Source organism: Homo sapiens, chromosome 18 (assembly GCF_000001405.40).
Source record: "Homo sapiens chromosome 18, GRCh38.p14 Primary Assembly".
Classification (NCBI taxonomy): Eukaryota; Metazoa; Chordata; class Mammalia; order Primates; family Hominidae; genus Homo; species Homo sapiens.
Window position 1 is genome coordinate 10,604,078 of NC_000018.10, and position 22,806 is coordinate 10,626,883.

Below are 22,806 nucleotides of genomic sequence, written 5' to 3' on the forward strand. Positions count from 1 at the left end.
GGGCTGTGTGTGGTGCTGGGCTGTCTGCTTGTGAATTTCATTTCTGCCTTTTAGTTTTTACTTCTTCTTTCTTTGGAGGCAGAAATTGGGCATAAGACAATATGAGGGGTGGTCTCCTCCCTTACTATCAAAGCAGGAGTCAGCAGAGGGGGCAGAAGCACTAAGTTGCTGCAACAACACCTGAGAGTGCAGACAGGAGGGGCCCAGTCCCCACCCCCACCTGAGAGTGCAGACAGGAGGGGCCCACCCCCAACCCCCGCCTGAGAGTGCAGAGAGGAGAGACTCACTTCCTCTACCCCCACCTGACTCCCAGTGTCGAGTGCCCTGGGGAGAGCTGCACCCACGGACATCCTGCAGGGTAGGCCAGCACCAAAACCCAGTCTCTTGTTGCATTTTATTCTAAGCAGTCAGGAGAAACCAAGCCGATTCTCAAGAGATGATAACCAATAGAACCCAAGTGTTTGGGATTTGGTGTGGAAGAGGCAGAAAATAGCAGGTCCCGAGGGAAAGATAATGTTTGAGAAGCAAAGCAAGAAAAGATGATGACAAACACAACACTCAAAGGCCCTAGACATAATCACTTTTTTTTTACTGTCATGAACATTTAAACATAACACATTTTCTTTTTTTCTAATTTCATCTCCCTCTTCCTTCCCTGGTCTCCAAAGCTGCAGGCCTGAGTGGACTGCTCCCGGGAAGCCACTTTCATGGCGTCCCCTCTCAAGGGTGCCCATCTACCTGGAGCGTCATCATCGTCACTGCTGGAGTCATGTCTCCTGTTGCCAATCCAAGCTCTGGAGACACAAGTACCACAAGAAAGGTGTTACCCAGAGGCACTTACCCATCCTCCCTGCTGCAGGGGAGGCCACACCAGCTGCCACAGCAACTCCCTGCTCCGTCCTCTGCTTTCTCAGAACTAACCTGGGCTCTCTGGAATCAGAGACCTTCAACAAGTCACTGCTCACATTTGCAAACGTTCACATCAAGAGAGGACCCCCTTTCCACGTGCCACTCCCCTCTCTTCCGGATCATTGCAGCTCTCCCTACCAGCCTTATCAATGTGGGGCTCCAACCCTACAGGTCGGTGATTCACAAACACACTGTCCCAGGTTGGAGCCACTGCCACGAGCCTGTTCTGCACAGACGGGAATATTCCCTCTGCCTTGTGAGCACAGGGCTATCGGGCACTGGAAATATGCCTGGTGTGATGAGGTACTGGAGATTACATTTGAAAATTAATTTAAAATACAGATGCACGTGGTTAATGACTGTGGCACCAGGGAGCCCAGAACTGAGATTCAGAGATGAGGGAGACGTCACCTCCCTGCCCCTGGGTTTTCCTTCCAGCGTAGCCATCAATGGCCTAGTGTTATCTTTCATCCAGTACGTACTTCCTGGGCACAGGCATAAGTATCCAGTGCTCTGTGAGACCCTAGGGGTGCTGAACACTGAGTCACATCCAGGTCCTAGAGGGGTTCACAGCTGGGGGCGATGTGTAAACAGAGTGAAGGGCATGGCCAGCAAATCCTGTGCTGGAAAATCAGGGCAGCTGGAGTGAGGGGAGGGGACACCCCACTGTCCCCAGGAGCCCACACACCCAGCCAAGTTTGGCTTTTAATTCGCCTTTCTTGTGATGTCTTTTGCTGAATTTGCTGTCATGATTGTCCCGATTAAAAGAGAGAGCATTGTGTGTTCCCTCTATATCCAGAAGTGTGCATGCAAGATTGGAGTTACTTCTATTTAAAATATGTGATGGACTCAGAGGGGACAGTAAGGATGGAAGTTTGCGTATGGAAAAATAGTTTGTGTTACTTTGTTTTTATTTGATGGTTGCTTTACTTGTGGTGCAGTGCACAGTATATTACCTGTACAGATTGTTGCCTTCTGACAAACACTGTGTTACCACCGCCCAGATATGAACACCCTGGCAGCCGCTCTTTGGCTAATTCCTAGGCAGTAACTTCCAAGAGACACTCACTATTCTGGTCATGATCAACATATTTTAAATTTATTTTTAAACATTGTATAAATGGAAACCTACAGTATGCACTCTTTTGTGCCTGAATGAAAATTACACGTGAATATCATGTAAATTTCACCTATGTTCCATTGTGATGACACATTCAGCATTTTGTACTGCTCGGTCCTGTCCATATATAACATCTACATTGTAGGAAGTTGGCACAATGAGTTTTCACCCTCTATGTTTTACATTCACTCTGTTTATCATGATGGTTATAAGGGAGGAGACCTCCCCTTATATTGTCTTATGCCCAATTTCTGCCTCCAAAGAAAGAAGAAGTAAAAACTAAAAGGCAGAAATGAAATCCACAAGCAGACAGCCCAGCACCACACCCTGGGCCTGGTAGTTAAAGGTTGACCCCTGACCTAATCGGTTATGTTATCTATAGATTACAGAGATTGTATAGAAAAGCACTGTGAAAATCCCTGTCCTGTTCTGTTCCATTCTAATTACCGGTGCATGCAGCCCCCAGTCACGTACCCCCTGCTTGCTCAATCGATCATGACCTTCTTACGCAGACACTTTTAGAGTTGTGAGCCCTTAAAAGGGACAGGAATTGCTCACTCGGGGAGCTCAGTTGTTGGAGACGTGAGTCTTGCCGAAGCTCCCAGCTGAATAAAGCCGTTCCTGCTTTAATTCGGTGTCTGAGGGGTTTTGTCTGCGGCTTGTCCTGCTACAGTTACATGAAGTGACGCTGCTATAAAGCCCCCCAGGGGGACACCAGCATCCTTGCCTCATACATGTATTTTGGACATAGGTAGCAGGAGTGGGACTGTAGGGTCACAGGTACCGATTACTCTAGTACACCCTAGAAAGTCATTTATCAAAGTGGATGAAATTAAGTATGTTCCCAGAGTCACATGTGATAGCTCCAGTTCCTCCACAACCTCACCAACCCTCTGCATTTTTCTCTCTGATAACGTGTCTATTTTGGTGGGTGTAGAAGTGAGAAACTCTGGTTTGAATATGCATTCTTCTGATCATGTGTGATTGAGTGCACTTTCATATGCTTTACTATGCCAAACTTGCTGAGGTTTCTGTGAATTTGACAGACGAAAGTGAGTACATGGTGTGTTATTCTGTCTGAGAAACCACATAACCTTGTGAGTTCCCGCACGACTATTATTTAAGGTGTTTTGTTCAAAGAAGGATTTAATAGGTAAAATTGCACAGGGTATCAAACAATGGAAAGATATTTGCAAGGACTACCGAGAATTCTGAAAAAAAATAGAAAAGACAAATAAAATGGAAACCTAATTAAAAATGGACAAATATTACAACAAAGCAATTACAGAAGGCAAATGTGGATGAATAAAAGTCATATGAACATAGGTTCAGATCCACCTGAGGCAAAAGCAGTGGCTGTGGAGAAGCCCAGCACGTCTCTGTGGGAGGCTCCCTCCACGAAGGGCAAAGGGAAAGCAAAGGGGCTTGGGGCGGAGCGCGATGGGGCTTGGGGCGGAGCGCGATGGGGCTTGGGGCGGAGCGCGATGGGGCTTGGGGCGGAGCGCGATGGGGCTTGGGGCGGAGCGCGATGGGGCTTGGGGCGGAGCGCGATGGGGCTTGGGGCGGAGCGCGATGGGAGTGGCGGGAGCAGCCAGAGCCCCTTGGGCTGGAAGCAGGGAGAGGGATGGAGGTCCGCCCGCCAGCACGGCCCGGGCAAGCGAAACCCGTGGGTTCTCGTGGACACTCCAGAACTGCACACTTATTTCTCAGTCAGGCATGAAACCAGTGAGTGCTGAGCAGACAACTAATGTTGCAATTTAAAAGAATCAAAATAAATTGCTAGTTAGGTTATGGGGAGTCAAACTCTCACAACTGGGAGTATTTAGGAGGTCAACCATCCTGAGGGATTTCCTCAGCACACAGGAACATTAAGTGTGCACTCTCCAAGCACCAAGCCCTCTGTCGTTCAGAGGCAGGAAAGATGCAGGAGGCGTCCTCACTGTAGGAGGGAGCTGGTATCAGTAGCAACCTGGCTGCTCGGCACAAGGGCGTTTATAAGGAAAGTGTGGTTGACGCAATGCTGACCAGTTGGAAGTCACGGAAGAGGCTCACAGGCACACATGGATAAAATTAAATGTATGAGTTTAAATCTCAGAAAAAATAAAAAACCGATGAGGCCTAAAGGGGGAAAATAATTTAATGCAAAAATGCAAACACACTCTATGAATTCTTTAAGTATCTGTAGAGATTATTTGGAAGAGTGGTCCACATTATTTACACTTGGGTTGGTGACTCAGGGATGGACGGAAACATGATCTGAAATAGTTATAAAGGAAAAAAATAGATAAAAGAGAGGCTGATGAGAGTGTGGTGTGAGTAAACTCTGTGCCTAACACAAAGGTTTTAATATACTTAATATATAATAAGTCTCTAAAAACAGGGAAGAAAAGAGTACCAACAAGCCCATGTAAGCATGTCAGAGACATAAACAGTTCAAAGAGAAACAAAGGAACAAATGGCTTTTAATCTCATTCAAAATGTGAAAAAGTTCACATTAAAACTGTACTGAGAAACCACTTCAAGACAAAATTTCAGAAGTTTCACATGTAACTACGTTAGTGTGGTTGTGCCCACATTGTTGTGAAGAAAGCTGACTCAGCACCTGTGGAGAGGAGTTTGGCAACATCTAGCAAAGCTGCATAAGCACTAACACTTTGACCCATCGTCCAACATCTCAAAATCTATCCCAAAGTAGACTTGCAAAATATGAAGACTCATGCACAGGAGCGTTGGCTGCAATATGAGAAAATGTAGAGCATAGTTTTAAACTCAAATCTCTGTAAGAATCACAATGAAATTAGATAATACTTACTAATAAATAATAAAAATTGCGCAAATTGAAAATTGGGAGATGCAGCAAACAGCATTATGTGAAAGCGATCTGTGAGATTAGTTATTGAAATTAGGAACTTGACACTTTTGGAGGCCAAGGTGGGAGGATCACTTGAGGTCAGTAGTTTGAGACCAGCCTGGCCCACATAGTGAAACCCTGTCTCTGTGTCTTTACTAAAAGTACAAAAATTAGCCAGATGTGGTGGTGCATGCCTGTAGTCCCAGCTACTGGGGATGATGAGGCAGGAGAATCTCTTGAACCCGGGAGGCAGAGTTCACAGGAAACACCGACAGAGAGGAAATAGCACACATGCCCTGCTGGTACAGCTGGAAAGCAGGTGGCTGCGGCTCCTTTCAGGGAGGGACCACCCCTCCACTGACAGCACCCTTGTTTACAGTTCCCAGATGCCCTGGCCCCTCTCTCACACCATGAACAGCTTTAGAAAACTGCGGGCCTCACACTGAGATGCCCAGGTGTGTCAGGGAGGCAGGAAGGCTTTGGGGTCTGAGGGCAATGGGGGACAGTGGGGACACTCCTGAGATGGCCCCTCCCAGCTGGGAAACCCCTCAGGGCCTCCAGGGGAGTTCAGCCATCAGGGTGCCCACTGGATAGGTTTGGCTTGCAACGCTGACAGCAAGGACCCCCCTCCACCCACTGGGTCAGCTGTGAGAACCCAGGAGAGGGAGGCCCAGGGACAGACAGGTAACAGCTCTTATTTGCATGCAGTGGCTGTGCCCCCATGAAGGTTTTAGGATCTGTAAGGCGGCTTTGAAGGAGCCCAAGCTCCAAAGCAGTGTCAGGAAGTGGGAGTTGTGTCTGCACCACTCCCTGGGCTCCTGTCCTCATCCTGCTCACCCCCTGCATAGGGGAGGGGGAACCTCACCCCACTCTGCTTCACACACCTCTCTCCTCAGGGGGGCTGTGATTCTGACCTACAGTCCTTCCTCTCTGTTTAGGGTAGCTGTGGCCCAGGCAGGGCTGGCTCAGCCATAAACATACACACACACACACGCGCGCGCACACACACACACACACACACACTGAATAGGCAACTCACTGAAATAGAACTAGTTGATTAATTAAAGCACCTATGGGATTTTTCACAAACCAAATTAGTATTTTTATTAAAAAACTTTTAGTGCTATTGAGCCTACATAGGAAGAGGCCTACTTATGTAATTGGTAAGAGTGTGATCTGATTAACTCTGTGAAAAATAATGTCAGTATTTTTTAAATTATAATTAAATTTATCGTAGCTCAATTATACCATTTTGAGATTCGTATACTACATAAAAACAAAAAAACAAAAACATTGGGGGGATCTATGTATATTGATGATTACTGGAAAGTCATTAGTGGTGGGAATTTTAAAAAATAAGCTTAATATCCATCTAACAGAGAATAAAGAAATCAGAACGTATCTATGAATTACTACACAACTGAAAAGAATACATTTAATCTACATTAATTGGAACTAGTAATGTCTACCACGTGTTATAAAGGGAACAAGTAAATCACTATATAATGTAGGATTTGAGCATGTTCTTTAAAACAAAACAAATCAATAAAGCCCTAGAAGGACCAACTATTGAAAGCCTGTCACAAAATCCAGAAATGGTAAGGAAAATATTGAAAATTTGACTATGTAAAAAGAAAACCTTCTTCAAAACAAAAACAATATAAACAAAGTAAAAGTTATGACACAGACCTTAAAAAAAACTCAGTAATTATATGGAAATAATAAATGTGCAGAACATATAAAGAATATCACTAAATGAATTAGAAAACTAGGAAAACGTATCATTATGAAAATCACAGGGAGAAATACAAACGGCCAACACACATACACAAATATGCACAATCTCCCTAATAAGTGGAGAAATCCAAATTAAAAGTAAAAATATTTTAAAATCATAAAATTGGCAAACATTGATAATTTCCTATGTAATTAAGGGTGTGGGGAAATAGGAATTCTCATACATTGATGGTAGAAGTATAAACCATTGATTTCTTTTTGGAACACAGATTTTTAATTTTATGAAAATATTAAACATTAACATTTGCTGCAGTATTTTATTTTTAGAAATCAATCATAAAAGGAAAAAACCACTTAACTAATGCAACAAAAAGGTGGATATACAGGGATGCCCAGTACAGCATTGGTAACAATAACAAATAACTGAAACTGACATAAAAATTCCTCAGTGAAAAAGTGACCAAATTGTGGTAAAATACCCTATGGAATAATGATGTAATTATAAATAATAATGAGAGAGACCTATAGGTACTGATAAGCAATAATCACCAAATTAAATCTTATATGGAAAAGCCAGTCAGTGAACAATATGCAAAGCAAGATCGTGTCACGGAAACATATGTGCATGTTTAACTGTGTGTAGGTGAATGCAGACGAGTGGGTGGGCTGGGAGGTGGTGGGGATACATTTATTCTATAGACCGAAGCACTATGTGAATTTCTATAACAATAACACGTGTTTCTTATGTAATTAAAAACAATTTACTTTTTTTTTTTTTTTCTTCTTGAGATGGAGTTTTGCTCTTGTTGCCCAGGCTGGAGTGCAATGGTGCGATCCTGGCTCACCGCAATGTCCGCCTCCTTGGTTCGAGTGATTCTCCTGCCTCAGCCTCCCAAGTAGCTGGGATTACAGGCATGTGCCACCATGCCTGGCTAATTTTTTGTATTTTTAGTACAGACAGGGTTTCTCCATGTTGATCACGCTGGTCTCAAACTCCCAACCTCAGGTGATCCACCCGCCTTGGCCTCCCAAAGTGCTGGGATTACAGGCGTGAGCCACCATACCTGACCAATTTAATTTATTGAATTGTAAAAAGGTGTGTTTAACCCTATATAAATGTATGACTATATGGAGATAATTATTATTCATCTGAATAAAATAAAACAGCAATATAAAAACACAAATAGGTAACAGTACAATATTACTATAGTATCCAATCCAATATTAAAATTATATACATACACATAGAGGCAGGTAGGGCTGCCAACAAATGGTCTTCATGTCTAAAATTGTGGTAATTGTTGCAGAGACTTCTGTGACTATATTGGAAACCTTGGAATTGTACACTGTGTGGGGGTGAAATTTATGGCATTTTAATTATATCTCGAAAGTTCTGTTAAAAAAATGAGTGGCTTAATATTCTGTTAAGTAAGGAATGGTTTTATTTAAAACATAAATTAATAATTTCCAGTGGATTCCCTTAAAAAGATTACAGCAGGGATTTCCAGATCGAACCCACCCCCACCTCTAGAGTTTTTGGCTGTTTTCTAAAGTCTTGAATTCAATGAGGTGAAGGAGGAAGAAAGTGTTTAGGAAGTCAGTGGGTTCCAGAAGAGCTGGTGCTGGGTGGGGCAGAGTGGTGAGAGATGCTCCTTTCAAATGGAAGGCTCTGGAACCCGCCAAAAGGGAGTGCAAGCTGGGGCAATCTTCCTGGACAGCCACCAGAGAAAGGCGTCAGACCCCACCCTCCCGCTGACATCCACAGACAGGGACATCTCACTGGCTTTTAAAATCATCAACTCTTTTTATATTGACACAAAGAAATAATGAAAAGGGGAATTCTGGTTTACAGTCATTTCATTAAATTATCCAAAACAACTTTTGAAACAAAAGTTATAAAAGTGAAACTCAAAATTATTCTCTGCTTAATAAATACTCTCAGTGGCTCAGATATAGTTCAGGCAAACTAGCCATTGATGCAGCCAAAGCCAGGGGGTGGAGGGGGTCCCGGCGTGCTCCAGGAGGCCTCTCCGGTGAGTCCGGCAGCTGTTCCCTCGGCGCTGCAGCCCTCTCTTTGCTCAGCTGGGGGCCTCTATTTTGTAAACCTCAGAATAAGTCATAAGCCCCGTGAAGACATCCAAGATATTCCTTAGGGTTATCTGAAATAAAGAAAGAGCAATTCTTCTAAAACATGAGACAGAGAATTCCGATTTCAGCTGACGCTGGCTGTTCCCTGTCAAAGCAGCACACGTTACTGAAGAAAGTGAACACCCCCTTGAAAGCGGTGAAGAAACCTTGAGAATATCATTAAATTATAATTAAATTTTATTATATGAAAATAGAAAAATTTTGTATCACCTAAAGTTCAATAAAGTGCAAAAGATACATGGTAAACAGGAAAAACAAAACAAAACAAAACAAAAAAACAAAACAGGCCTGGCATAACACAAAGGTGTTATTACCCTTAATATATAACAAGTCTCTAAAAATAGGGAAGAAAAGACTACCAACAAGCCCATGTAAGCATGTCAGAGACATGAACAAACAGTTCAAAGAAAAACAAAAGAACAAATGGCTTTTAATCTCATTCAAAATGTGAAAAAGTTCACATTAAAACTATACTGAGAAACCACTTCAAGACAAAATTTTAGAAGTTTCACATGTAACTACGTTAGTGTGGCTGTGCCCACATTGTTGTGAAGAAAGCTGACTCAGCACCTGTGGAGAGGAGTTTGGCAACATCTAGCAAAGCTGCATAAGCACTAACACTTTGACCCATCGTCCAACATCTCAAAATCTATCCCAAAGTAGACTTGCAAAATATGAAGACTCATGCACAGGAGCATTGGCTGCAATATGAGAAAATGTAGACCATAGTTCTAAACTCAAATCTCTGTAAGAATCACAATGAAATTAAATAACACTTACTAATAAATAATAAAAATTGCCCAAACTGAAAATTGGGAGATGCAGCAAAGAGCATTATGTGAGAGCAATCTATGAGATGAGTTATTGAAATTAGGAACTTGACACTTTTGGAGGCCAAGGTGGGAGGATCACTTGAGGTCAGGAGTTTGAGACCAGCCTGCCCCACATAGTGAAACCCCGTCTCTATGTCTTTACTGAAAGTACAAAAATTAGCCAGATGTGGTGGTGCACGCCTGTAGTCCCAGCTACTGGGGAGGCTGAGGCAGGAGAATCGCTTGAACCCGGGAGGCAAAGGGTGCAGTGACTCGAGATCCTGCCACTGCACTCCAGCCTGGACAACAAAGCTTGACTCTGTCTCAAAAATAAATAGGAAAGAAAGGTAAAAATTAAGTATACAACTTAAGTTAGAAAAAAATAACATCAGAAGAAATCCAAATAATGTAATGGAAGGATAACAGATGAGAAGAGAAATTAATGAAAGAGAAAATAAGGACAATAGCGGGAAGGGGTAACAGAGCCAACAGTTGTTTTTGAGAAAAGTGTATTATCAAGAAAAAAAGAGAAATCACAAAAATTCATATCAGAACTTAATAAAAAGACATAACTATAGAGGTAGCAGAGATTACAAAATGGACAATCAGTGGATATTATGAGGAAATTTATGCTGAGACATTTAAAATGTGTACAAGATAGATAAAATCCTAGAAGGCATAATTTTCTAAAATGAATTCATGAAGAAAAATCCTAAATACTTCAATAGCCATTATATAAATTTAATTAGTAGTTAAGAAGTATCTTTCCTCATCTCCATCTTTCTCTCCCTTTCTTTACCCCAGCTCCACCTCCTGCCCCCTACACACCCCTAATAGTATTAGTGGCTAAATACCAAAATTACAATGGAGTTGGCATTCAAATCTGATTGAAATATTTCCATGAAATTGATGAAAGGGGCTAGTTACAATTAATTTGATGAAAACACTGTAATTTTAATACCAAACCAAAAAATTAAGTATAAAAAGAAAAACTGTGCACCAATCTTATTCAGGAGCACTGACATCAACTCTCCAAAGCAGTGGGAGGCAATGACCATGCCTCAAATGTGAAGAATCAATACAAACAGTACAGTTAGTGTACAGCTCAAAACAGCATATCCTGAAACGCTCAACCTTATACCTAATATTTAAAAATATTTGGAACACACAGAGCCATGGGAATGGCTTTTGGAGAAATGTTCATGAAGGAAGAAAGATTACAGCTAAGTTTAAAAATACTGTTACAGTTTTGTTTGCTTGTTTTGTCTTGAAGAGGAGGTAAAAGTTGGAGTAAAAACAGGGAGTTTGGGCCAGGCGCGGTGGCTCACGCCTGTAATCCCAGCACTTTGGGAGGCCGAGATGGGCAGGTCACGAGGTCAGAAGATTGAGACCATCCTGGCCAAGGCAGTGAAACCCCGTCTCTACTAAAAATACAAAACAAAATTAGCCGGGCGTGGTGGCAGGCGCCTGTAGTCCCAGCTACTCGGGAGGCTGAGGCAGGAGAACGGCGTGAACCCAGGAGGTGGAGCTTGCAGTGAGCCGAGATCGCGCCACTGCACTCCAGCCTGGGTGACAGAGCGAGACTCCGTCTCAAAAGAAAAAAAAAACAACAAACAGAGAGTTTGGTGTAAAGTGGGAAAAGCAAAGAAACCTGCATGGATGGGCTGAAGGGTGTGCTGGGAGAAGAGTGAGAAATACGTCTGGGGAAGAAATTGGAGATGGAGGTTTAATCCCAAGTGATCCAAAGGGATGTATTGAAGAATTGATGTGTGACTAGGAACAGGGAGGTTATGGAATTGATCGTCAACCCAACAGTGGGCACTCAGTTCCACTAATGAATGAGGACTGTGAGGACAGACAGACTGAGGGGCAGGCAGATGAAGGCGTGGGTTGTACATAAAACAGGTCCACTCGATTGTTGACAAGAAACTGTTTTCAAGTTCCGTTTTGCCATGCATGGAATAGCTTTCCATTAGCTGAATTTAGTGACATATAAAATCATTAAACTAAGGCAGACACCCAGAGTTCCCACATGAAAACCAAGTGTAAACCGGCTGTGACCCACTTCAACACCATCATTGGAGATCAGAAGCTGAGCCCTTTTCTGATGTTTAAAACCTGCATAATATTCAGTGTATTATTATTTGTGTATCTATTTCCTTTGTGATGGAAATTTGGTTTGTCCCAATTTTCTATTTTATTAAAACATTGCTACATAGAAAGTCCCCTTGCATATATTTCTCCTAATGGTAGAAATATTTTACATAAAAGACTCTAGAAATGGGATGAGATCCATGGGTTAGGAGAATTTTAAAACAGATAGGTCCTCCCAAATTGCCCTCTTACAAATCATACAAATTCATATGCTTCTAGCAGTTACAGAGAGTGGGTGTTACCCCCCATCCTCACCAACACTGAATGTTACACATGAGAGCTGAGTATCCCTTATCTGAAATGATTGGGACCAGAAGTGATTCCGATTTGGGTTTTTGCAGATTTCAGAATGTTTACATTATATATGCTTACTGATTGAGAATTCCAAATCCAAAAATTTGAAATCTGAAATGCTCCAGCGAGCACTTCCTTTGGGCATCATTTAGAAGCTGAAAATGTTTTGGGTTTTGGAGCATTTTGGATTTCAGATTTTTGGATTTGGGATGCTAACCTGTATTAAACATCTGTGACAACCTGAAAGACAAAAGCACACCTCAGTGTTTTATTTTGCTTCTTTCTGCTCACAGTTTCCATGAACTTTTTTTTATCTCTGTGCTGGTGCATGCTGTGTGTGAAATGCTACTCACCCACAAACAGGTCCAGCCCAGATGACAGCTCTGCTGGGAAGTCTTTCCCATTCTCATGGGGAACTCTGTTTACTTCCTGATATCCAAAAAGAACGGTGCAAATATTCCTCTCAATTGCATTGTGAGGTTTTCCTTTAAAAAAATTTTATGTGGAGCCCATTTTCTAATCCTTTATTCCTTATGTCACTGGTTCCTTGTACAGATTAGGTGCAAATATTATTTGATTGGATGACTGAATGATACCACAAGTTCCTTCTAGCTCTGGGAATCTGTGTTGCCATGATTCTACTGGCCTGGGACCTGTACATGAGCAGCAGTTTTAAAAAGCAAAGCTCCTATCTTTAAATAAAACCATAAATTCCTTACTCATTACTCACACCTGTATCAGGAACAGGTTTGGATGCAGGGGAAATTCCAAGGATGACGGGTATGGATCCGAAAAGACAGTGATGTCCAAGTACAGGCGGTGCACTCCACAGGTCATCTCGGACAGTCACTGGAAGCCAGGCAAAGTCTGTGGTCTCATGGCCACAAGCCCAATGATTTGACCTCAGAGGGTATCCTGCATTAGAAGCAAGAATGAATCAGAGATTTGAGGAAATAGGAGAGGTCATAATTGTCACCATGCCTGCTTTCTCAACCTAAGGACTGACAAGCATCTAGCCTTGAGCCAAAAAGGCTGCAAATACATGTGTATTTAGTAGTGGGCTGTTGCACTCCAGAGCTGGAACACGGCTTTGTACTTTGATTCTCCAGCCTCCAGGAGACTCATAAATCCTGCACTCCATGATCCAAAATGGTGGGTTTCCTTGAAAAATGTAATTAATATAATTAATTATACATAGATTCAAAAATATTCACTTTGTAGAATAAACAGAACTGACTTTTGTTATACAGTTTAGAAAGTTGATATTAGGTGGTTTTCACAGTTCCATTAAAATTTTTGATAATTAAGAGCTTTTATTTACTTTCAAAATTTGGTGGTAATCCTCAGTCTTCCTGTGTAAGGAATTACATTTAAGAAAAACAGTATTGCATAAAGGCAAGCAGAGGATTTTGAGAGATGAAGATAAAGACAAAGAGATATTAATGTCGCTGAACCTGACCAACACCTGAAAATAATAATAATAATGATAAGGGTACATCTAGTGCTCCAGGGCTTCATTAAAAAAAAAAAAACCTTAATTGTCTCAGGAATCTCAAAAATAAGGTAGAATTATAATACTTTTACATAGATTCAAGGGATTTGCTCAAGATCACAATTCTATTCAGTATCAGAGTAAGGACTGGATCCAAGCATCCTGACTCCCAAATCTGTGCTGCTGAGCACTGTGCTATGTATAAATATCACAGATCATAAGAAATAGAAACACCTGACTACAGGAACGCCCTCTATATTTACACACTTTGGTGAGCATTAAGAAATGGGGCTACTGCAATGAAATTGAGATGAGCTTGGGAGGTCAAAAGGAAGCATTCTGCTACTCCAGGTAAATGAACATTGTGGTTTGCTCATTCTAACATGGAAAAAAAATTTCTAATGTATCTACCCTTTAATTAACTCTTCCAAAAGAAGAAGCTGGAAGACAGATGCAATTAAAGGCTCAAATGGAATTATCTCTACCTAACGGAAGAGTTGCCCATTTTGTGAAACTGTGCTAGAAGGACCCAAACAATGCTGATGACAATTATCAGGATGATAAGCAACCTGGAAAGACAACGAGTGATGTAAATCATAGACAAGTCATGATAGGCGCCTCCATCGTGCTTCAGTGCTTGCATTCATTCTTGTGCTATTTTATTACTTTTACCAAACAAAACATAGCTCCTTGACATCACATGAACCTATGCCTAATGAGAATCAGTTAGTAAAATGCCCGTGACTAGTAATCTTCACCTATGCAATTAAACATTCATTCATAAAATAGTTCAAATGTAAGCGAATGTGTTGAATGAAAAGTACATTAATACATTAATTAGAAAAAACATTCTATTAAAAAGAAATTATTTGTATGATAAAAGAGATCACCATTTTTGTACTTTTTCACAAACTTACAGAAAACTAAGTCAGCTTACACAGGTGAATCTTAAAAACCTCTAACCCAGAATGTAAAGTACATTGGCCAAAAATGCCAGCCTAACGCATTTCAATACTACAGGATGCATGTAGGTAGAACTAACCGAATAAAATACTGGTAGTCAGTATAATCCTATCTGTGGTTCCTGGGGTCCAGGGAGAATGAGTTTGTCACCTTCCCACCTCCCATGAGCCAGTGTTTTTTCCGTGAATAATAAAAACAGCAGGATTTACTTGCCTGTCCAGAAAAGGTCATCACTTCTGTGTGTTCTCCTGAAACAGGTGGTGGCTGGGTGAAAAGGCGGACAGCATTAGGGCTGGAGATGGAGGCTCCAGAATCTTGGATGAGCTTCTGAAACCTCTGCAACTTCCAGCCACTAAATGGAATGAGCCACGGAAAGCTTTAGCCCAATGCCCAGAACAAGATCAGGGTTTAGTGCATGGCACTGCTCTCCTTGTAGTTCTGTCATCAGCCGCCACACATCCATCAGGAACACACATCCTGAGTTACTCTATTTATAATAAGCACAAACTAAAAGAGAGCGAACTCTGGCACACAAGGTTGTAGTGGCTAGCTTTGGAAAGGAGGAGATACAAGGACAGTTTTGGGGTGCAGGTAACTTCTAGTTTTTGACCTGACTTGTAGTTACATGGGTTCTCACTTTGTGATAAGTTACAGAGCTGTGTATTTAGGTTTCATGTGTTTTCTGTATGTATGTTGTACTTTAGATTTTTAAATGTTTCACAAAATACTATGACAGTATATGGTCTATTGAAAATGTGGAAGGAGAAAAAGACTCTGTGGTCCATTCTGTCACTTGCCAGCCCCTGGCTTCAGGCCCAGATGGCTCTAGGTGTCCTGGGTTGACTGAACTCTTGCAGCAGCCTCTTGGAATGAGCACCTTCCCCCACTCTGTCCTTTGGTAACATGGGCCCATCCCTAATGGCTGCATTTGATAAACTCATCTGTGTTAGTGTGTGGATGACTCATCTGTTACCTCCTTCATGTGATGTATATAGGGACATCTGGATGGTGCATTCACCTGTCAGAGCAGGTGAGAATTGCATCCCTCATGAAAAACATGAATGAAGTTTTGTGAATATGTGGTTAAACGTCGGGAGTGTCAGCAAAAGTCAGGTACAATTAGAGACACATAAAAGGAAGAAAAACAATTTCATTTAAAAATTGGGCCTTAGTTTTTGTAGGTGGAAAGAGATAAAATTAACCTAAATGTCTTCTCCTGTCTCTAGCACTCTAGCACTCTGATTAGTTTCACTGGAACCAACCACTGGAGCCTCTAATCTGCTTCTCCATCCGCACTTCTCCAAGAGCATTCTAGGCAGAGCCCAGGGGGCCCTCGGCAACCCCCTGTGAGGAGGAGCTCGGTCTCTCTCTCTCTCTCTCTGACACCTGCTTCTGGACCTTGGTGTGGAAGTCCATGGAGAAGGGGTGCTGCCACTACTGAGGCTGGAGGTCAGAGGCTCATCAGAGAGGCTACCCTGACCTCCTAGTCCTGGGGCCAGCAGAGGGTGCAAGCACTGGCTAGTGGCTGGGTGCTATGACCCATGAGGCATACATAGAAACCAAGTCAGCATTTTGTTGATCTCCCAAAAAGGCTTCGATTTTCTTCACTATTCATAATAATGGCAGAAAATTCATTTTAGGAATATTTTCAATAATTATTGTCACCTGACGAGTAAATTAAACTACTACAAACAATCTGATTACAGAGCAGTGAAAGTCAATTCAGTTCTCCAGCTGTCTCAGGGGGACCACGAAGTGGCAGTGCATATTCGAATACCTACTCAGGCAGAAATGTCACCAAATGCAGCCAGTGCATCTTATCCAATTCCCATTTACCTCATTCTACCTCAGCCTCCAGTACCCTCTCCATACTCTATGGACTTCCTCCAGTCCAAGCCACTCACCAAAATGGGACACCCAGACCCAAATGACTCCAAAAATCCAGCAGGGAGGTTGAAGAGCGAGGTGAGCAGAGCAGCAAACACACCAAATATCCCTGCCTCTGACCACTGCACAAGCACTTCTGTCCCTCTGGCCTTCTGTTTTTACCTCCAGACATAATGGATTTCTAGTTTTTCATGTTTCTCTACACCTTAGAAACATTCCTCAGAATTCATAGCCTGAAAGGGATGTCCTCAGTTCATGGCTTGCCTGTGTACAGAATGGGGCTGATCTTCCCTGGCCTCCCTGTGAGAAACATGGGAAGCAGCTTCAGGAACTCCCCCCAAGGATGCAGGCGGCCTTCATGTGCAACTCCTCCATGTCTCATAGGCAGTGCTGTACAATACCTTGCCAGGAACACACAACATACTCATGAAACCACCAACCACAGGAGATTTTAAAGGTGAGTGTCTCTACCAAGTGTTTACCATTACAGTAAGAAATGATGTCATGGCTGCTGGAAAACAATGGGCTTTGGCATAAAACATGGACTTAACTCCCTGGTCCTCTTAGATGAGTGTTTCACCTCTAGAGTGTCAGATTTCTCATCTCTAAAGCAGGGTTGTCTCTTGCAATCCTAGAGGAAAACCAGAGGTTAATCTTCCTCAGGAGCACAGACGCAATAAACAGAGTAGAAAGTACTGATCCTTAAGTCAATTTGAAGAATCAAAACCAAACCAAAGAAAACAAGGCAATCAATGTATTGTGCAAGATGACATGGCATATTGTGAAACCTTTTCAGTGGTTTTAAAATATTAGGGGAAAAACAAGCTCTGGGAGTGGCTACTGGAGAAATTTTCATGAAAGATGTCATGCTAAAACAAAATATTAAAGAATAGACAACTTTTTTTCCCTCTTGTGTAGGTGGTGGAAATATTCTAGTAAGCTTGTTATGAAGTGCAGGAGCCCACCTGCCTGATTGAGCTGGAGGGGGTGTTGGGGGATAGCAATCCACAGTGTTGGAGAAAGTGGGCTTGATGCTTATCACAATCAAGGTCAACTTATGAACACTTTAATATGTGACTAGAAAGAACAGGAGAGTCTGTAATGCATTACCACCTCAGGAGTTGGCACTGAGTTCCATGGTTGGATGATGGGTAGATGGACAGACAGATGGACCGGTGGATAAATAAGTAGACTTGACATGAGTCAAGTGTTCTTGGCTTCTGGGAAGAAAATTTTTTAAAGTTTCCATTTTCTACAAATCTAAACAGCTTCCTCTGTAGCTGAATTTAGTAGCATTTAAAAATCATTAAACCAAGACAGAGCTCCTACATATAAACCAAATGCAGGCCAGATATTACCTACATTGCACTACAGCAGAAGCAGGATTGGACCCTGGCTGTCTGACACAAACACCTGTGTTCTTCTGCACTGTGCCATGGGAGACAAAAACATTTCATAAGAAATAGAGACTAGAATATGTATGTGCTATGTATTTACACACATAGATGACAATCAGGAATTAAGGCTAACCACATCTGGGCTTTGAGTCATATAAATAGGTTGGGAAAGATGCATTTTACTACCCTATTGAAAGAGACCATTTATTTCTCACTCCAGCAGGAAAAATGTTTTTCAGTATTCACTTATCTGCTCATTGGCTTTTTACTATAGACCAGGAGATGGATAGCCCGAAAATAGCCCCAATTGGAGGCCCAAGGTCATGAGCAATTGACTCAATGTAATGGAAGAGTGGAGCACTCGGAGATACCTGTACTAATGGGACCCACATGATGTGGGTGAGAACTATTAGGATGAGAAATAACCTGGGAATGTAATTAAATATTCAAATATTAAACAGAACACAATTGAAATCTCCATTGTGCTTTAGTTTTTGAAGTGATTCTTGCAGTCATCATTGCCTTTCCCAAACAAAGCAAGCTACTTGATATCACATGAACCTGTGCCATGAGGAATGATGATCAGTTTGTAAAATGCCAAAAAAGCTATTGTTTGCCTACATTAGTCACAATATTTTATCTACGTATTTCAATTTTTATCTAGGTATTTCAATTCAACACATGTAAATACAGTTCAAATGTCAGAAATTATCTAGTACATATTTGTAATATATCAATGAGCAATAACCACCACACTACTACTCTTAAGAATCATTTGATGAAAAAAGCAGACTCCCATTCTTGGATTTTTCTCAGTTTACACACATTACTTACTATGACAGCCCCATGTCCACCAGACATGTGCCCAGGAGAAGAACAGAACTGTAAGCTTTTCTTATTAACTTAATTTCTAAATGTATTACATATTTATGGTTAGAAATTATTCTAAATATCTGAAAGGGTTTGAAAGGAAGTTTCCCTTCCACTCTGAACTCCCAAACACCAAGTTAGCATTTTTGTTTGCATATCATCCCTGCACTGTATCTGCAAATACAGACAAGCACCAGGAACGCATGCTTCTGCATGATTATATTTAAACAAAGTCTTCTGTAGCTCTGCATATATCACTGGTCAATGCATCTTAGCTACCATTCTGCATTTCAAATGTAAATCCATTTCATTATTTAAGAGCTATAAAGTAATCTTGCTATTGAAACCATGCTGCAGTGAACAGCTTTTTCTGCATCGCTCCTGGCACTCATGCATGATTGTATCTGGTGAAGCATTCCTGGAAGTAGGATGGCTAGAAAGTTACACTATCTTTAACCTTGGCAGAACCAAACTGCCTCCTGAAGAGGTCATGTGAGTCAACAACCCCCTGGCCATAATTTTGGCTTTGTGTTTCACTCTAAGTTTAATCCATGTGACATGAGTCCTAAAGGCACTGACAAATGAGTATTGCAGGATAAGGGGCACAGCTGAAATCATAATTTTACTACTTCACAAATTTCAATAGTTTAGTTTCCTCCGTTTGTAAATGTTAAAAGGAAGCATTACAGAAAGATTACAATTCAAAATGATTGATATATTAATTTTTTTTTAAGAGACAGAATCTTGCTCTGTCACCCAGACTGGAGTGCAGTGGCATGATCTCGGCTCACTGCAACCTCCTCCTCCTGGGTTCAAGCAATTCTCATCCCTCAGCCCCCTGGTAGCTGGAACCACAGGCATGTGCCCCCACATCCAGCTAATTTTTATATTTTTCTTTTTTTTTTCAGAAAATTATTTTAATAGTTACAAAACTTTTTTTTTCAGAATCAGTATAAAATAGCAGTTGATTTCTCCATAATTATCAGAATTATTTATACTTGAGGTCTTGGCTAAGTGGGGCTGAAATCAACAAAACGTCTTGGACTGTTGGCTCAGAAATGGTCCTAGAAAACCCGCCCTGTTGATATCTGTCATGCTTAGCTCTCATGAGATGAGCCAGTCCTAAAAATAAAAAAATAAATTAAAAAAAACAAAACTTTTTATTCATTCTTTTGCGGCTTGAAGTGAATTTGGCAGCGTTCATTAAACACCTTCCAGCTCCTGTCATTTGCCACTTCTTCAACATTCAGTTCTGACTGCATCCATTTCAACTTTGTCTGCTCTTTTCTAAGTTGCTTTAATAACGTTAAATCATCCAAATTCTTTTCTCTCTCTTCTCAGAGGTTTTTTACTACTGCTGAAGTCTGGGCTATACAATTTTTTTGGACTCTGTCTCTACTGGCATGAGCTGCCATCAAAGACTCATAAAGTTGTTTACAGGTTTGGCTGGCATCAATTTTCCCTGCAAAGGAAGGCGTTGGAACTGTAGTGTTTAATTCATGTACTATTCTGTCATCGATAGGCCTCATCACCTTGAGTAATTCCTGGAACTCGGCGAACTCCTCACAGTTCACACCGCCACTGGGTGCCGCCATATTGGACCTAGTTTTTATATTTTTCATACAGATGGGGTTTTGCCATGTTGACCAGGTTGGTCTCAAACTCCTGGCCTCAAGTGATCTGCCTGCGTCAGCCTCCCAAAGGGCTGGGATTACAGGCATGAGCCACTGTGCCCGGTCATATTAATGTTTGTAAATGGAAAATGTGTGCATTGCTCAGGAAAAAGTAAGCTACCACCACTTATCTGTTCGAGATGCCTGATGGTGTGCTGAATTTGATTACGAAAATTAACATAATTAGAATAAGATGAAGTTTCTTTTCTTTGTTACATTTTAAAAATAAAAGGCTATTCAAATGAAAGACTAACCAGAGTAATTCAACTCTTAATGAGAGATAAAACTAAAACTTGACAAGGATTTGGAGAAATGGCTACTCTCGTAGGCTGTTAAAGGAGCATAATTTAATGTAACCATTTAGGAAAAAGTTTGGTGTTATTAATGAAAATAAAAGATATGCACCCTTCTCACAATCTTCTCAACAGAAATGGGTGCCTGTATTATTCAAAAACATTGACAAAAATGCTCAAAGCAGCATTATTTGTGATAGCCAAAATTATAAAAAAAATCCTCATATCCATCAATAGTAGTGGATAAATTACAACATGTGACCGCAGTGGAATACTATACGGTGAGGAAACGAAAGGGCTATGGTTATGCTTAACTACCTGACTGAATCTCTAAAACAACGTGAGCAAAGAAGCCAGACACCAAGCAATACATATTGACTTCTTCTATGCATAATTATGCAAACCTGGAGAAGTCTAAACAGGGCATTAGAAGTCACAGCAGTCACCTTCAGAAGGGACCCAAAGGTGGCTAGTGGGTCTGGAATACTGACCTGACTAGGGGTGCATGGGTGCTCATTTTGTGAGGAATCACTGAGCTGTACATTCGTGTTTTCCCTGCTTTCTATACGTGTGTTAAAATTTAATTTTGAGATGTTTTGCAAATTCCTGTGACAACATAGGTCTATTTGAAAATTGTGACCGGAAAATGAGAAAATGTCAAACATCCTTTTTGGCTGCTGCCTTTCACCCCACTGCCTTCAGGGACCCTTGGCCTGACTTGACAAAGTACCCTCTTGAAATTAGTCCCTTCTGAGTCTGTCCTTGTCCATCATGTCCAAACTCACTGAATGCCATTGGTAAACACTGTAGTAATGTGTTAATGGCTGGATACTGCTTTCATAGAATATGCATGAACTGTGTAGAGGCAATGCATTATCCCACAGAGAAGGTGCAAATTCCATTCTCTATGAAGACACTGATGGATGGTCCTGAGGACCCCATTTAGGGCAGAGAGCATAAGTAGAGGAAGAAATAAGAGATGGTAAGGGGCCGGGTGCAGTGGCTCACACCTGTAATCCCAGCACTTTGGGTGGCTGAGGTGGGCGGATCTCAAGGTCAGAAGATCAAGACCATCCTGGCCAACATGTTGAAACCCCATTTCTACTAAAATATAAAAAATTAGCCGGGCATGTTGGCATGTGCCTGTAGTCCCAGCTACTTGGGAGGCTGAGGCAGGGGAATCGCTTGAACCTGGGAGGTGGAGGTTGCAGTGAGCTGAGACGAGATCACACCACTGCACTCCAGCCTGGGTGACAGAGCGAGACTCCGTCAAAAACAAAAGACAAAAAACAAACAAACAAATAAACAAAAAACAAAAAAACAGGGACATCTGTAATGATGAAGAAACTACTATTTTTTCATTGGGGTTAAAGGTATAACCCCAATTTTTGTATCTGGGAAGAGAAAAAGTTGAATTAAATGTTCTCTGCTATCCTTCCCCACTCTAAAACTCTGTAGATAATTCCAATGGAACCCCATTGAGGGGTTCCAATTTACTTTTGTCTGCACTTTTTGCAGAGAAATCTCAGGGAGAAAGCAGGGCTGTCTTACCTTCCACCTCTAAGGAGTTCTCTTGTGCTCTTTTACTCCAGTGTTGGCTCCAGGACCTTGGGTAGAGGGTGCTGGTGATATGAGGTGGTCCAGGAGCTCATGAGGAAAAGCAAATGATAGGCAGCATCAGAACTCAGAGTTCTGGGTCCAGTGGAGCCCTCGGGCTGCCTCAAGGGAAGCCACTTAGTTTTCTATTTCCCTATGTAAAATAAGACTCCTCCAAAAATAAAACTGTCACCTGTAGCACTAAGTTACGTGCTATCACACGAGATCATGTGGAACTTCCTGCGTATTTCTTGTTGATCCAAGAAGTCTAGATTTTAAGGTCTAAATATCAACTTAGAGGACAACTACTGAAGCCTAATTTTGGAGGAGAGGAAAGAGTGCAGGGCCACCTTTCTTTAGGGAGAAACTCTGGGCTTCCTGAGAAGTTAGAGAACTGGGGAAAATGAAACCACAGCCCAGAGCCTGCGATAGGGGTGGGGAGTGGAGGCTGGAGCTGTGCTCAAGGTCAGGCTTCTCCTCTCCCCTCCCAGGGCACTGGAGCTCCAGCAGTGAACCCAGAGTGAATATTCGCTCTGTCATCCACCCTGGGCAATCCCTTTAAACCAGGAGTCAACAGCGAGGACAGAAACATGAATGTGCTTTTAAAAGT

The 22,806-nt window shown here is 41.8% G+C and overlaps 1 protein-coding gene, 1 long non-coding RNA gene and 1 pseudogene across 2 annotated transcripts, besides 2 other annotated features; 1 reads left to right on the top strand and 2 right to left on the bottom strand.

Annotated features, from left to right (window-relative positions):
- The first annotated feature begins 670 nt into the window (after positions 1-670).
- Positions 671-2,659, top strand: LOC124904248 (uncharacterized). The gene has a single exon (XM_047437981.1). It carries the CDS (start codon positions 770-772, stop codon positions 1,556-1,558), a length of 789 nt encoding a protein of 262 aa, XP_047293937.1. The 5' UTR covers positions 671-769; the 3' UTR covers positions 1,559-2,659.
- Positions 4,907-5,408: an enhancer, noted in NCBI's record as "H3K4me1 hESC enhancer chr18:10608981-10609482 (GRCh37/hg19 assembly coordinates)". NCBI's record gives its function as "activates a minimal SCP1, AML or CMV promoter by ChIP-STARR-seq in primed H9 embryonic stem cells {active_cell/tissue: H9 hESC(primed)}" and the evidence as "EXISTENCE:reporter gene assay evidence [ECO:0000049][PMID:30033119]".
- Positions 5,409-5,908: an enhancer, noted in NCBI's record as "H3K4me1 hESC enhancer chr18:10609483-10609982 (GRCh37/hg19 assembly coordinates)". NCBI's record gives its function as "activates a minimal SCP1, AML or CMV promoter by ChIP-STARR-seq in primed H9 embryonic stem cells {active_cell/tissue: H9 hESC(primed)}" and the evidence as "EXISTENCE:reporter gene assay evidence [ECO:0000049][PMID:30033119]".
- Positions 6,921-22,343, bottom strand: LINC01887 (long intergenic non-protein coding RNA 1887). Its single transcript, NR_146509.1, has 3 exons — positions 22,152-22,343; positions 12,745-12,940; positions 6,921-8,776 (listed from the first exon to the last, which is right to left on the bottom strand). It is a non-coding gene; the product is annotated as a long intergenic non-protein coding RNA 1887 (long non-coding RNA).
- Positions 19,539-20,236, bottom strand: MIX23P1 (MIX23 pseudogene 1; annotated as a pseudogene).
- Positions 22,344-22,806: the final 463 nt, after the last annotated feature.

Bases quoted from the DNA above. Each gene is read 5' to 3' on its own strand.
- LOC124904248 (XM_047437981.1), top strand. From the start codon at position 770: ATGTCTCCTGTTGCCAATCCAAGCTCTGGAGACACAAGTACCACAAGA.